The sequence below is a fragment of the Homo sapiens genome, chromosome 1 (genome assembly GCF_000001405.40).
Source record: "Homo sapiens chromosome 1, GRCh38.p14 Primary Assembly".
Classification (NCBI taxonomy): domain Eukaryota; kingdom Metazoa; phylum Chordata; class Mammalia; order Primates; family Hominidae; genus Homo; species Homo sapiens.
In genome coordinates, this window is record NC_000001.11 from 86,319,664 (window position 1) to 86,337,157 (window position 17,494).

Sequence of the window (17,494 nt, forward strand, 5' to 3'; positions counted from 1 at the left end):
ATGTTTGCAGCCAGTTTTCTGTCCTACATTCTGTCTGTTGATTCTGATTGCCTGAGGAGACACTGACAGAGTTGGCTATGCCTGCAGAATACGGATGACAGATGTGTTGAAAAATCAGAGAAGCTATGATAGTTAAAGAACTATAATGCCAGCAGGAATTGATCTGTCGTGCTAAAAACAAACAAACAAAAACATTACAAATGTATCCGCGTGTCTATAGACAGGAGGTTAGAAATGACTTGCTCTGGTTATGATTACAGATAATTTTTATTAGGCGAGAACTTCACAAATGCTAGAACTAGCCTATGTAAGCTCAAATCCCAGTTCTCCCAGCTTCTATCAGTATAGCATTGGGCAGATTTCTTAATCACTCTCTGACTCTTTTTCTCTAAATGCAAAGTGGTTGAAATAATATCTCAAAAAGTTATGGAAAAAAAGTGAGTCAATAAATTTTTTAAAATGGAGAAGAGAGACTGGTTCATGGTACTCTACAAGTGGTTTTCTAAAATGTTTTTCTTTATCCAGATCCTTACTGGTTAAAAAAAAAAAGAATGAGCATAATAATTTTTTAACCAATAAATAAATAAAATGTTTGTATTTATTTTCCAATTTTAATAAAGGATATATATATTACTACTGACCAGAAAATGTCATATATAAAAAGATAAACATGGCATTCCATAAAAAATGAACATAAATTATCTTAAAATTATTGCCAAATTTGTGATTTCTACAGTATTACAGGGTTGCAAAGCTTCTTGGAAGATAAACTAGACTCCTCTAACTTTTAGCAAGTCTATTCCTCTACTTTCTTCATATCAATAGCCAACATCCTGTCATGAAAATATTCATCTGGATTCACCTAAGTCCTTCTGAATATACGTTTTCCTCCTCTCACGCAGTTTTCAAATTGTATTTAGAACATTCAATCAACATCTTACATGTAACAATATTCTCTGTATTTAAACATTATGCTGTGCCTTTTCCTATTTATTGCCAGGTGAAATAGATTTTTCTATGGTTATTCACAAAAATCTCAAAGTAAAAATGAAATGAACTGATAAACTCATGAATTAATGTGTTATGTTAGGAAGAATACTTGTTTCAAATTGTAGGGGCTGCCATGGAGGGTGGAGTGGCTTTCCTGATTGATAAATGTACAGCTTGGCCCCTTCTTTGGGATCCTCCTTTCTGCAGAGAGTTCCAGTTTTCGTGTTCTCTTTCCTGAGGGACAGTGGAGGCCTAGGGGTAAGCTGGCTTCATTCAGGAAGATCACATTAACAGGCTTGTTCAAGCGGATTTTTCAGCAGTAAACCCTTTATTTTGATTTCTGTGTTTTATTCCTGCATCTTTTACTCTCAGTTTGTCCTAAAATCAGGTGGGGAAGAAAAGATAAATAGTGAAAAGATGAATAGTGATCCCCTCAAACTACAGCATGTTAACTCAGGCATATTACTTTAATTTCCACTTAAACCAGGGGCTCTTACCTGGGGTCCGCAAATGCATGCATAAACATGGATGGGAAAAGTAAATCACATCTTTATTTTTTCTAAATTTCTTTTTTTTTTTTTTTTGAGACGGAGTCTCACTCTGTTCCCAAGGCTGGAGTGCAGTGGTTCAATCTTGGCTCACTGCAACCTCTGCCTCCCGGGTTCAAGCGATTCTCCTGCCTCAGCCTGCCAAGTAGGTGGGATTACAGGCACCCGGCACCACGCCTGGCTAATTTTTGTATTTTCAGTAGAGACGGGGTTTCACCATGTTGACAAGGCTGGTCTCAAACTCCTGACCTCAAGTGATCGGCCTGCCTCAGCCTCCCAAAGTGCTGAGATTACAGGCATGAGCCACCACGCCCAGCCTATTTTCATTAAACTTCTAACTGACATTTAGCCTTTCCTTTCATTGTGAATGTAGACAGCAAATCACCATTGTAGGAGCAGAACAAGTCACCTTGTCACCAATAGTAACCACGGATATTTTAATCTCTTATTACTGTTATTGGAGATATCTCCAAATATCATTTACTTTCATCACTACTTTGAAATTATCATCCTTACTAGACTTGCCATTAAATTGCACATGACTGCAGCCTTCCTGTCTTAGATTCCTGTGTGAGGTAGCTGGCCAGCCATCTGAAACTGCCTCTTATTGGTGCTTAACATCCACGAAGTCACTTATTCTCAATTGGTGACCCAGACATCTACATTGCCTTCCAGTAAGTGAGATACTTTCATCGTTAGAGTTTTGCAAGACTGGACCACTTTCAAATGAGAACTCTTAACTCTCAATAAGAACATGCAACCTCATGTAACTCAAATAAGTGCAGGAGCTGCATGCAGACATGGCAAGTTCAAAGGCATCTGACAGTTTTCAGATCACTGCAGAAGTGTGAAGTAGCTTCCTATTATTGCTAACAGATACGTATCACACAGTGTTGTAAGATCTTGAGTAGCAGAATTCTTTTGTTTTTCTCTTGTGATCCCTTTTTGTACACTGGGTGTATTAAGAAGTAAAAGCATGTCTAATCAATGTGCCGTACCAGTGGTACATTACTGCATTACTTTTCTATGAAAATACCACACATTTTAAAAATAAATTCAAGAAAACCATCTACAATCCCAGAAATGAGAACTATTATTTCTAAGAAGACACAGAAAGCCACATGACTAATGCTGGAGAGAGTGCTAAGCCAAGATACAAAATTCTGTCAATTTCCTTGAAAAAAAGAGAGCTCTACAAAGACCTGGAAACTATTCAGAACATTTTCTAAAGTGACGTCAATTTTGATGGTATCAAAGTTAAAGCATTGTTGTGATGCTGTAGCGCCCTTAAGCTCCACTAGCTCTGTCTTCTTCTAGAGCTATACCTCATCCAGTGGCATGATCTAAATAGCATCTATATATTTTTATCTCAGTCTGTTGGCTCCCTTTAGCATGACGAGATTTCACAGCCAATGAAGCTTGATTTTGAAAGCCTGTATAAATTAGCCTGCACTATGAATCTCTGAGAAATTGATGACAGCTCCTCAATGTATTTCTCTAGCCCTGACCCCTCTTATAAGCAACGTAGTCAAATACCCAGTTGAGTTCTCTGATTACAATCTTCACATGAAAATATCAGATATTTCAAAACCAACAAAAGCTTTTGTCTCCCAAATATACTCCCACGCAGTCCTTGCTCAACTTATAAATGCATGTTCATCTACCCAATTGCTTAAATCAGAATGGTGGGAGTTATTTTTTCTTGAGTCTGCTTTTTCCCTCACTGCCTTTCCAGATGCAAATTTCCAAAGCATTATCAAGTTCTTCTACTGTTTCTACTTCCAAAATATAGTGCAAATCTGTCCACATGATTGCACCTCCACTGCCATCACACTGACCCAAACTATAGTCATTCTTGATTGACTCTGACATATTCATTCATTCACTTATCACACACTCACTCATACAGTTTCTATATATGCTAAGCACAACTGCCTCCTAGTTGTTCTCCATCCTCTTGCCCTATTATCTATCCTGCACCCAGCAGCCTCACAGATTGTTGTCAATACACAAATCATGATGTTGCCCTGCTTAGAACTCTCCAGTGGCTTTCATTGAACTTCTTACTGTGTCCTACAAAGCTTGGCCCTCCTACTTTGTTTCTAGCAATAAGAAGCCACCTTCAAGGAACCAGGCCCTCCTCCTATTCTCCTTCATTCATTGTGGTTCAGCCATAATGGCCTTACTTCAATTGCTTAAGCAAGCTAAGAATTCCCACCTCCTAGCCTCTGCACTCTCTGCATGCTCTGCTTGGAATAACCTTTACATTTCTGGCCTCTTCTAAGCATTCAGATTTCAGTAACAATGTTCCCTCCTAGCATAAGTCACTCTCTCCAAAATCCAGCCATCTTCATCCTGAGTCTATCATTTAATGGTTTTATCTCCTTCCCAATGATCAGCCCTATATAAAACTGTCTTATTTGTTTACTTGTTCGATTATTTGCCTCCCACACCAGAGTAGCAATTCCATGAAAGCTGGGATATTTTCTGACTCATATAAAGAACACTATCTAGATCACATATTCAATTAGTCAGTAAATAGCACCTAAACATTAAGAAGGCCAAAAAAGTTTTAATAGCAAACATATGAGGACATATATTTCAATATGAAAAATGTTACCAATATATATATAGGATATATCCATTTCCTATACCAAAATGTGTTATTAAAGAACTATAAAATATTTTTAAATTGAGTATTTTTAAAGCACATCATTTAGATACTATAATCAATCCATTTGTTTCTTAGTTCTCTATTGCTAAGTAATAAATCACCCTAAAATTTAGTGGCTTAAAACAACAAACATTTACTATTGAGGGTTAGGAATCTGAAAGGGGCACCACTAGGTGGCTTTGTCTCAGGGTCTCTTGTGAGATGGCCATCATCTGAAGGGACCACAGAGTCAGCTTCCAAGCTCCTGTTGGCAGGAGGCTCCAGTTTTGTACGATGTGGACCTTTCCATAGAGCTGCTCACATAACATGGTAGCTGACTTCCCCAGAGCAAAGAATCAGAGAGAGAGCACCCCAGCATATGTAACCTTTTATAACTTCAGAAGCAACAACCCTCACTTCTGCCACTTCCTATTGGTCACAGAAACTGACCCTGGTAGAGAGTGGAAGAGGAACTACACAAGGCGGAGAAGGAGGTGGGGATCATTGTGGGCCGTCTTAGACACTGTTCATCACAATTTGGAATATGAAGACCACTGTCATGCTTATTGCCAAATTTTTTTCCTGAGTCAGTAACTCATGCAGCCAAGAGTAACAGAAACCCAGCAAATGGTCATTTAAACAAGGAAGAGGAGTGTATATTTTATGCCATAAGAAGTCCCGAGTAGGAGGTCCACAGTTAGTACAGTAGGTCAAGAGCACCTTCAAAGAGTCTTCTGGCTTCTCAGCTCCACCACCTGGGGTGAATGAAGCAGCACTTCCAGAGCATACTAGAAAGAGACTGTGTGGTATCAGTGACTTTCTCTTTACATCTCATTGGCCAGAACCTTGTCAAGCAACTTTTATTTGTAAGGCAAACTGGGGAACTTTTAGATATTCCAACCTCTATAATAGATGACAGCAGGGAAAAACAAGGAAAACAGGTGTTGACTGAGGGCACAGTATGTGTCACGTTTCCTAAGTTCAGCTTTTGAACACCACATTTTTGGGAGGGTGGATCATAATACAATCATTTATTGGAGCTATACTGTAACACAAGAGAAGTACAGGGCCCTGTACATAGCAGGTCCTTATTATTTCTTGAATGAATGTATTATATACTAGTGTTTAATATATCTTATAAGCATTAGCCTTATACAAGCATTTCCTAAAATGACTTTGTATTGTGTTTGTATTAATTGGGAAAAACAGATTTTCCATTACTATGAAATGAAAATAGTAAAAAGCATAATAATTCTACGTGCCTTACTTTTTCTTAATTTCTAGATTTCTGTTCCAGGTTTTGATCTGTGCAGGAAACACTGAGCCCATTTACACTTCAGCTCTGTGATTCCTCTGCTTCCCCCTGTGCCCCCAAACCTTCTCCTCCTATCCTACAGCCCTGCCTCACACAGAAATTCTTTTTATTTCATTGTTCTTCTTGGTTCAGAATTTGCTTTTTTAAAATAAGATAAAAAAGACAAAGTGATAGGGCAAGTTGATTACATATATTCCCCTTAGAAAAAAAAAATTGATGTTATAAGAAACTAACTTTGTAAAAGGGACAACCCAAAAAACAAATTGCATTCTGAAAATACCAGGAAATGCCAACATAGCATTTTTGTACTTCAAAAAAAAGTCTTCAACTTTTATGCCAAAACAGACTTCAAAATTGAAGCTGTTAAAAATACACACTTAATTTAGTAGCTTTTAATTCACAGGGCTTTTTCATGGGTGGAGTTGCTAAGTGGTGAGTTGATTTTTGCCACAGAGGAGAAGACTGCCTCCATAAAATCAGACTTTTACTAAGAATAGACTTGTGGGCCACAGGATAATTAAAAAGTGCTTGGCATAATTGAAGTTCTGGTGAGGAAATGATTAAAGTCATGGTTTGCATGTTGGGTGTATACAAACTACTTTAAAGCTTGGATATTGGAATGTGTAGCCTTCAAAGGATCATATTAAGATGAATAACATTTAAAATACCATTGATAAACTATATTTTTCATTTTTAAATAGAACTAGGATCACTAAAATTACATATTGAAATTATATATTGATTTGACATGAATAGTGAAACTTGCTATATCTATTAGAAATATAGAAAAGCATGTTTTTAAAAGTGTAGCTTATGTTCTTATTCAAAACAATGAAAAAAAAGTTTACTTGGCCATTTTAGCAACGATAAGACAATCTTAGTGCTGCTAAAATTAAAAGGTTCAAACATTTTCAATACTATTCAGTATCTCTAGGTTAGTGAGTTATCAAAATTTAAAGGTATTGATACTTAGTTCTTGTTACTTGTAAGAGAACTAGATACTGTTTCTCCCCCGGGCTAAATTATTTAAAGTTAAAGAATTAGGCCTTCTTTAAAGGTTAAGCAATATGATTAAGCAACAATGAATAGTGCTTAATTTGGACAATGGGATCTGGGATGAGAAGCAGCTGAAGTAATATTTTCACATCATATTCTTTGGTATTCTTTGAATTTATTTTTAATTTAAAAATTACTACTTTTGTAATTAAATTATTAATGATAAACTGAAGTTGAAAACTTTATAAGATCAAAATCCCTAAAGAAACAAAAATATAAAGCATGAAAAATAATTGCCTTTATTGAAACTTGAAAAGTAGCCTTATATGTGATATGAATAAATAAGTTTCAAAACAGTAAGATCCAATCCTAAGATTTTATTAAGCCCAAATTGGAAAACTTTTAGATTACATATTATTTTTTGCTGTAGATTTTTTAGAAAAAAATCTATCCTAATAAATCAGGAAACCACAAATCCCTCTTCATTAAATACCAATGACTCTTGAGTATTTGGAAGGAAATACTGCCTTCTTTAGCTCTTTCACAATAATTCTGAAGTAACATTAACGTGCTTTTTTAACAGTCAAGTTCCTGGTATAAATGTGCATCCCTTCTTACGATTTACAGGGGATGTTTTAATTTGTCAATGAAAGAAATTTATAATAAATAACATAAATTTCAAATTTGGCTAATACTTTCTACAATCCCTTAAATGATTTAGGGTTTGTTTGGAATTTTTTTGTATGATTAACTTAGAGCCTCATCTAATTTCAAAGCTATTATGATTATGAGAAACTAGTGTAGGCACTTGTTTAGAACTGCAAAGGTTGACAGTGTTCTGAGTCTGTCCTAAATATGATTTTAAAATATGATAAATATTTACATCATTATGTAAATAATATAGACACTGGAAATAAAATTAACACATGAGCAACAATGCAGTAACAAAGAACACAGAAAAATTCTGTGACTTGTTAAATCAAACATCACATTCGTTCCCCAATAAACACACACAAATACACTGGAAAATAATTAGACAAACCCATAAGTTAAAATCAGACAAAAATATAAGCAAAATAATAATTTTCTTTTTCCTAATTAAAAAAAATAAAAGGAATCTGAAACAAAATTGGTCTCCCTCGACCCCACTTTTTCCTCGTGTATTTTAGTTGATGGCACTAACTGGTACCTGATCAGCAATCTGTGCATCCCTCCCAACAAAAGCCAATGAGTCACCAAGTCATGTGGATTTCATGTTATCAAATTTCATGACTTTATCCCCTTTTCGCTATTCCTACTATTGCTACCCTCCTTGTTGTTTACTAGACTATGACACAGTCACCTATTGGGTCTCCCAGCCTCCAGTGTTCCTTCTCCCTCTTCACCCATTCTCATCCTTCCCAACAACATAGTGATATTTCATGGTCACCAGAGTTATCTACATAAATGAAAATTTGACCACATATGTCCCTGTTTGGACAGAATTCTAGAAAAGATGGTGTCAGGCACATTTTCTCTTTCAAAAATTCTACTTTGACAAGGAGAGAATAGACAGACAGTAAAATATCTGGATCTTAAGTCAGATGATTTAATGACATTGATCCAGTGACGATAATGTTTAAAGGGACCTCTGGGATAAAAAAGGATCCAGGGAAACACAGCATAAACGCTTAACGCCACCCACAAAAGAAAAAGAATTTGAAGGCCTCAAACATTTCTTCCGTGGGTGTCAGAAGACAGGAAGTAACATCTACAGAGCTTTGAAGGAAACAGTTGTAACTCCAAGATTTTCTTCCCACTAAAGTTTCTGCTCAGGTTTCCACATGTAAATGAAGGCAAGAAGGAAATCATGAATATGAGAACCCTAAATATATTCCAAATACAGATAATTACTGAATAAAATGTTTAAAGCATATCCTAGAAAAATTAAAGGTAAAACAAAAATAACAATTGAGTGTTGATACCAAAAAGAACATGACATCAGCTAACAATATAATTATAAATTTAAATGATTATTTTATACATGGTTACAACCTTAATTTTTATTATTATCATTTTTAATAATAATTTAGCACATTCGTAGGTTATATAGTGATATTTCCATACATATAATATATAGTGATCAGATCAGGGTAATTAGCATATTGATCATCTCAAACATTGATCATTTGTTTGTGTTGGCAACATTCAATATCCTTTTAACTATTTGAAAGTATATATTAATATTTATTTTTATAAAAATAATAGAGAATTTTTAATCTCAGACTGGGAAGAAAAGATGGGAAAGTATCAAGTTCTTTATCTCCAGGAGAAAGTACTGAAACAAAATAACAAAGAACAATAGAAACAATGAAATTGGCACAATTTATCATACAAATATGAAGAAAAAAATATTTAGAGGTTGCAAAAGTATATAGAATAAAAATACTAGATATATAAGGAAAAATGGGCAGAAACACACTCTCTGTAGGAGAATTTACAGTATTAATCTATAATAGGTAAAATAGACACAATAAAGAAGATATAGAAAATTAATAATGGAGTAGAGAAAGATACTTAATAAATTCCCAACAGCAGAAATTATGAAGACCATATTTTTACTACACAATAGTTTACCCTTATCCTCAAGGGATACATTTTAAGACCCCCAGTGGATGCCCAAAACTGAGGACAGTACCAAACTTTATATATACTGTATTAGTCTGTTCTCACATTGCTATAAAGAAATACCTGAGACTGGGTGAAGAAAAGAGGTTTAATTGGCTTATGGTTCCACAGGTTGTGCAAGAAGCATGGCAGCATCTGCCTTGTAGGAGGCCTAGGGGAGCTTTTACTCCTGGCAGAAGGCAAAGCAGGAGCAGGTGTCTTACATGTTACAGGAGCAGGACCAAGGTTGGGGGAGGTGCCACACACTTTTCAATGATGAGATCTCACGAGAACTCGCCTGCTATCACAGAACTAGCACCTAGAGGGACAGTGTTAAACTATTCGTGAGAAACAGCCCCATGATCAAATCACCTCCCACCAAGCTCTAACTCCAGCACTGGGAATTACAATTTGACATAAGATTTGGGTGGGGACACAGATCCAAACCATATCATATATTATGCTTTTCCAATACATACATAACTATGATAAAGTTTAATTTACAAATTAGGGATAGTAAGTGACTAACAACAACAATAATAAAACAAAATAATTATATCAATATACTGTAATAAAAGTTACATGAATGTTGTCTCTCTAAAAATATCATATTGTATTGTACTCACCTGTTTTCTGACCATGGTTGACCATGAGTAACTGGAACCATAGAAAATGAAACCATGGATGAGGGGAGGATTGCTGTGATTAAAAAAATAAAGAAGGAATAACTTTAAAAACATAAATGTGAAATAAGAAAAATAAGAACAAACCAAAACCTCAAAAAAATGCAAACCACACACATGAATCTGCAACATACACACTCACTCTTAAGTGAAGTAGCCAAAAGTCATATGTCAAATTTATGAAGACTTTCATTATTAAAAAATAAAATAAATTACTACAGTGAATTAAAGTAGATGAAAAAACATAGATATATTTGTATATTCCATGTTCTGCAAGAATACACTAAAATTAAAACAAAACATTTTGTAGCTTCTGGAGGTTGCTACGAACTCACTCATTATTCTGCAAATTGAATCAAATATTCATCTTTTCCCTTATAACCTGTATGTGAGGATAAGCACAGTTGATGAAGGAAAGTTCTTTACAGAAAAATCACAGTGAATAAATGCAGAACAATGACAAAATTAGAAAAATCACTAATTTGATTCCTTAATAAAATAATGGATCTTGGCAATGATTATCAATGGCTGCTTAAAATCATTAGGTTAAAAAGTTGATCTATTTTCTCAAAACTTCTCACTTCATTTCATTCATTTGATCTTCAGTCACTGATATCCTTTCTTCCAGTTGAATGAATCGGCTACTGAAGCTTGTGCATTTGTCATGTAGTTCTCATACCATGGTTTTCAGCTCCGTCAGGTCATTTAAGGACTTCTCTACACTGGTTATTGTAGTTAGCCATTTGTCTAAGAAATGAGAAGAGACGTTTAGAGAAAAAAGAGTAAAAAGAAAGGAGCAAAGCCTCCAAGAACTATGGGACTATGTGAAAAGACCAAATCTACGTCTGACTGGTGTACCTGAAAGTGATGGGGAGAATGGAAACAAGGTGGAAAACACTCTGCAGGATATTATCCAGGAGAACCTCCCCAACCTAGCGAGGCAGGCCAACATTCAAATTCAGGAAATACAGACAACACCACAGACATACTCCTCGAGAAGAGCAACTGCAAGACACATAATTGTCAGATTCACCAAGGTGGAAATGAAGGAAAAAATGTTAAGGGCAGCCAGAGAGAAAGGTCGGGTTAACCACAAAGGGAAGCCCATCAGACTAACAGCGGATCTCTCGGCAGAAACTCTACAAGCCAGAAGAGAGTGGGGGCCAATATTCAATATTCTTAAAGAAAAGAATTTTCAACCCAGAATTTCATATCCAGTCAAACTAAGCTCCATAAGTAAAGGAGAAATAAAATCCTTTATAGACAAGCAAATGCTGAGAGATTTTGTCACCATCAGGCCTGCCCTACAAGAGCTCCTGAAGGAAGCACTAAACATGGAAAGGAACAACTGATACCAGCCACTGCAAAAACATGCCAAATTGTAAAGACCACTGATGCTAGGAAGAAACTGCATCAACTAACGAGCAAAATAACCAGCTAACATCATAATGACAGGAACAAATTCACACATAACAATATTAACCTTAAATGTAAATGGGCTAAATGCTCCCATTAAAAGACAAAGACTGGCAAATTGGATAAAGACTCAAGACCCATCAGTGTGCTGTATTCAGGAGACCCATCTCATGTACAGAGACACACATAGGCTCAAAACAAAGGGATGGAGGAAGATCTACCAAGCAAATGAAAAACAAAACAAAACAAAAGGCAGGGGTTGCAATCCTAGTCTCTGATAAAACAGACTTTAAACCAACAAAGATCAAAAGAGACAAAGAAGGCCATTACATAATGGTAAAGGGATCAATTCAACAAGAAGAGCAAACTATCATAAATATCTATGCACCCAATACAGGAGTACCCAAATTCATAAAGCAAGTCCTTAGAGACCTAAAAAGAGACTTAGACTCCCACACAATAATAATGGGAGACTTTAACACTCCGCTGTCAACAAGACAGAAAGTTAACAAGGATATGCAGGAATTGAACTCAGCTCTACACCGAGCGGAACTAACAGACATCTACAGAACTCTCCACCCCAAATCAACAGAATATACATTCTTCTCAGCACCACATCGCACTTATTCAAAAACTGACCACATAGTTGGGAGTAAAGCACTCCTCAGCAAATGTAAAAGAACAGAAATTATAACAAACTGTCTCTCAGACCACAGTGCAATCAAAATAGAACTCAGGATTAAGAAACTCACTCAAAACCACTCAACTACATGAAAACTGAACAACCTGCTCCTGAATGACTACTGGGTATATAATGAAATGAAGGCAGAAATAAAGATGTTCTTTGAAACCAATGAGAACAAAGACACAACATACCAGAATCTCTGGGACACATTTAAAGCAGTGTGTAGAGGGAAATTTATAGCACTAAATGCCCACAAGAGAAAGCAGGAAAGATCTAAAATCGACACCCTAACATCACAATTAAAAGAACTAGAGAAGCAAGAGCAAACACATTCAAAAGCTAGCAGAAGGCAAGAAATAACTAAGATCAGAGCAGAACTGAAGGAAATGGAGACACAAAAAACCCTTCAAAAAATCAATGAAACCAGGAGCTAGATTTTGAAAAGATCAACAAAATTGATAAACCGCTAGCAAGACTAATAAAGAAGAAAAGAGAGAAGAATCAAATAGATGCAATAAAAAATGATAAAGGGGATATCACCACCAGTCCCACAGAAATACAAACTACCATCAGAGAATACTATGAACACCTCTACACAAATAAACTAGAAAATCTAGAAGAAATGGATAAATTCCTGGACACATACACCCTCCCAAGACTAAACCAGGAAGAAGTTGAATCCCTGAATAGACCAACAACAGGCTCTGAAATTGAGGCAATAATTAATAGCCTACCAACCAAAAAAAGTCCAGGACCAGATGAATTCACAGTCAAATTCTACCAGAGGTACAAGGAGGAGCTGGTACCATTCCTTCTGAAACTATTCCAATCAATAGAGAAAGAGGGAATCCTCCCTAACTCATTTTATGAGGCCAGCATCATCCTGATACCAAAGCCTGGCAGAGACACAACAAAAAAAGAGAATTTTAGACCAATATCCCTCATGAACATCAATGAGAAAATCCTCAATAAAATACTGGCAAACCAAATCCAGCAACACATCAAAATGCTTATCCACCATGATCCAGTGGGCTTCATCTCTAGGATGTAAGGCTGGTTCAACACACGCAAATCAATAAATGTAATCCAGCATATAAACAGAACCAAAAACAAAAACCACATGATTATCTCAATAGATGCAGAAAAGGCCTCTGACAAAATTCAACAGCCCTTCATGCTAAAAACTCTCAATAAATTCGGTATTGATGGGACGTATCTCAAAATAATAAGAGCTATCTATGACAAACCCACAGCCAATATCATACTGAATGGGCAAAAACTGGAAGTATTGCCTTTGAAAACTTGCACAAGACAGGGATGCCCTCTCTCACCACTCTTATTCAACATAGTGTTGGAAGTTCTGGCCAGGGCAATCAGGCAGGAGAAAGAAATAAAGGGTATTCAATTAGGAAAAGAGGAAGTCAAATTGTCCCTGTTTGCAGATGATATGATAGTATATTTAGAAAACCCCATCGTCTCAGCCCAAAATCTCCTTAAGCTGATAAGCAACTTCAGCAAAGTCTCAGGATACAAAATCAATGTACAAAAATCACAAGCTTTCCTATACACCAATAATAGACAAACAGAGAGCCAAATCATCAGTGAACTCCCATTCACAATTGCTTCAAAGAGAATAAAATACCCAGGAATCCAACTTACAAGGGATGTGAAGGACCTCTTCAAGGAGAACTACAAACCACTGCTCAATGAAATAAAAGAAGACACAAACAAATGGAAGAACATTCTATGCTCATGGATAGGAAGAATCAATATCATGAAAATGGCCATACTGCCCAAGGTAATTTGCAGATTCAATGCCATCCCCATCAAGCTACCAATGACTTTCTTCACAGAATTGAAAAAACTACTTTAAAGTTCATATGGAATCAAAGAAGAGCCTGCATTGCCACGACAATCCTAAACCAAAAGAACAAAGCTGGAGGCATCAGGCTACCTGACTTCAAACTATACTGCAAGGCTACAGTAACCAAAACAGCATGGTACTGGTACCAAAACAGAGATATAGATCAATGGAACAGAACAGAGCCCTCAGAAATAACACCACACTTCTACAACCATCTGGTCTTTGACAAACCTGACAAAAACAAGAAATGGGGAAAGGATTCCCTATCTAATAAATGGTGCTGGGAAAACTGGCTAGCCACATGTAGAAAGCTGAAAATAGATCCCTTCCTTACACCTTATACAAAAATAAATTCAAGATGGATTAAAGACTTAAATGTTAGACCTAAAACCATAAAAATGCTAGAAGAAAAGCTAGGCAGTACCATTCAGGACATAGGCATGGGCAAGGACTTCATGTCTAAAACACCAAAAGCAATGGCAACAAAAGCCAAAACTGACAAATGGGATCTAATTAAACTAAAGAGCTGCTGCACAGCAAAAGAAACTACCATCAGAGTGAACAGGAAACCTACAGAATGGGAAAAAAATTTTGCAATCTACTCATCTGACAAAGGGCTAACATCCAGAATCTACAAAGAACTCAAACAAATTTACAAGAAAAAAACAAACAACCCCATCAACAAGTGGGCAAAGGATATGAACAGACACTTCTCAAAAGAAGACATTTATGCAGCCAAAAGACACATGAAAAAATGCTCATCATCACTGGCCATCAGAGAAATGCAAATCAAAACCATAATGAGATACCATCTCATACCAGTTAGAATGGCGATCATTAAAGTCAGGAAACAACAGGTGCTGGAGAGGATGTGGAGAAATAGGAACACTTTTACACTATTGGTAGGACTGTAAACTAGTTCAACCACTGTGGAAGACAGTGTGGCGATTCCTTAAGGATCTAGAACTAGAAATACCATTTGACCCAGCAATCCCATTACTGGGTATATACCCAAAGGATTATAAATCATGTTGCTATAAAGACACATGCACACATATGTTTATTGCAGCACTATTCACAATAGCAAAGACTTGGAACCAACCCAAATGTCCATCAATGATAGACTGGAATAAGAAAATGTGGCACATATACATCATGGAATACTATGCAGCCATAAAAAAGGATGAGATCATGTCCTTTGTAGGTAGGGACATGGATGAAGCTGGAAACCACCATTCTCAGCAAACTCTCACAAGGACAAAAAACCAAACACAGCATGTTCTCACTCATAGGTGGGAATTGAACAATGAGAACACTTGGACACAGGAAGGGGAACATCACACACTGGGGCCTGTTGTGGGGTGAGGGGAGTGGGGGAGGGATAGCATTAGGAGATATACCTAATGTAAATGACGAGTTAATGGGTGCAGCACACCAACATGGCACATGTATACATATGTAACAAACCTGCACGTTGTGCGCTTGTACCCTAGAACTTAAAGTATAATAAAAAAAAAGGTTGATCTAATTTTTTAAAGAATGAATCAGTCTGACATCACGTGAAATCACTGACCCATTTTCACATTAATAAAAGGGTAACAATCAGACATTACCATACTCTTAGCATGATACAATTGAAAGCATACGGTATCACCTATGAAGAATACTTGCCAAAAAAATTTTAGACCTGAATTCATTCAAGATCTTGGACGTAACTACTGGTTTACAGGAAATAGAGGAGATGGAGAAACATCTTAAAATGTCATGAGCCAAATACAAATTGTGGGAACTCTTACAGGGCAAATGATCAAATTTATCCATAAATAAATGTCATGACAATACAGGAGGAGGCTGCTATAGATTACAAGAAACATATCCACCAAATGAAATATGTGGATTTCATTTTGATCCCAATATGAACAAGTCATTTGTAAAGACATTGTAAACATTATTGATACTTAACAGTGATACAATATTAACAACATTGCTAATTACAACCTTAGGCTGCTTATTCAGAAAAGGCCAAAGAATCAATTGGAAAACTGAAAAAATTGATTAGTAATGTGACTAAATACAAGATAAAACTTTTACATTCATATATACTATTAATTACTAGAGGTTAATAATTCTTAATATCTACATGAAAATCCAAAATACTTTGAATTAATTTTACCAAGAAATGTGTGTAAGTGGTTTGAAGAAAACTACAGAATTTATAGAATTTATACTGATAATTAGAAATACTTACATAAATTGTCTTTATACTCTCTCTTCCAATTGCCTCAAAAATCATTACACATTAAGAATGCGCTTACCCATTTTGTAATACACTCTGTTCATTACCTTCTTACCAGTCTATTAATGAATAACATATTATAGGCAACTAAATTACTAGTTTATTTTAGTAAAAATGTCTTTCTTTACTTAGGAATCCCAAAATCATATACTGAAATATTTGGTTACAGGATTGTCTCATTATAAGAAGTTGGAGAATAACAATTGGATCATTTTGTCTTTAATGATTTGGGGTTGTTAATTCATTTCTGACTGTTCATAATTAGGAAGTTGTAGCCTCATAAAGTTTTATTATGGGGGTCATAGCCTTTACCAATTCCAATGGTCTCACCTCATTAAACAACATTCTGCTTGGCTAACGCTTGCTACTAACATTCCTATGCAAAGCTCATCATCTCTAAGGTTCCCACCACCAGTAGCAATCAGATGACTGTAAACCTGCCTACAGAATCTTGTTCTGGCTGTTCCTGTTACCTCAGTTTGAGCATTTATGTAATTACATTGTCCAACTATAATCTAATCCTAGTAAGAATTAATGCTGTGATCATAGACCATTGTTCTCTCTAAATATTTATGCTAGATAAAAGGATATCATAATTAATGAATTAAACTTTCATGTGTGAATATATTATGATAATCTTCTAAATCATCACTTGACTTGGTATCTAGCTAGGTATCACAGTAAACCCATCAATTAATTACATGTTCAACATTTTATAAATAAGTTTAAATAAAACACGTTTGTAAACTAGACATAAGTTCACATTTTGTATAAGTCAAGAGAGTTTTCTGAGACCTGTATAGAGAATTTGCATTCATCAACTGTAAAGAACTAAGAAAGTTATATACAGAATTAGGATAAAAACTATAATAATTTTAAAATAAGCATAAATTCTATGATTATATACCACTTTATGAAATGCTTACCTATCATTTTACTTCAGCCATATTCCCATTGCAAATGAAAAATTTTATCTCAGCTATTTCAAAGCCAAATTATACTGCACTTCATATAATGGAAATCATGTATCCCCTCTGGATGAGGAAAATGCATACTACATGGAGAAAGAACAGAAAACAGAAGTGGAGGCAGGAGGCAGAATAACAAGACACCAATTATTGCTTCCATGCAACAAGTTGTGAATAGTCTAGTTGCACCAAGATACCCAGATTGAGGAAGAACATAAGAAATCTAGCTCATGTACCTATCTCAGATCCAAAGGCATCTAGAGGAAGCACCAGTTCTCCCACCGGGAACATGAGATGTTCACCGGATCTTTTGTAAAAGAAAAGCTAGAACAAAAGAAGAAAGGCTGGTGATGGATTTCTTAAGGCACAAATGGATTACAAATATGGACAGATACTAATCTCAACTCATAAAGTGGAGTAACCTGGACAATATC

General features: G+C 35.8%; 1 long non-coding RNA gene across 1 annotated transcript; it reads right to left on the reverse strand.

The window, feature by feature from the left end:
• Positions 1–640: 640 nt before the first annotated feature.
• LOC105378825 (uncharacterized) lies at positions 641–10,450 on the reverse strand. The gene is made up of 3 exons (XR_007066205.1): positions 10,413–10,450; positions 9,775–9,847; positions 641–1,368 (listed from the first exon to the last, which is right to left on the reverse strand). It is a non-coding gene; the product is annotated as an uncharacterized LOC105378825 (long non-coding RNA).
• Between the last annotated feature and the right edge of the window lie 7,044 nt (positions 10,451–17,494).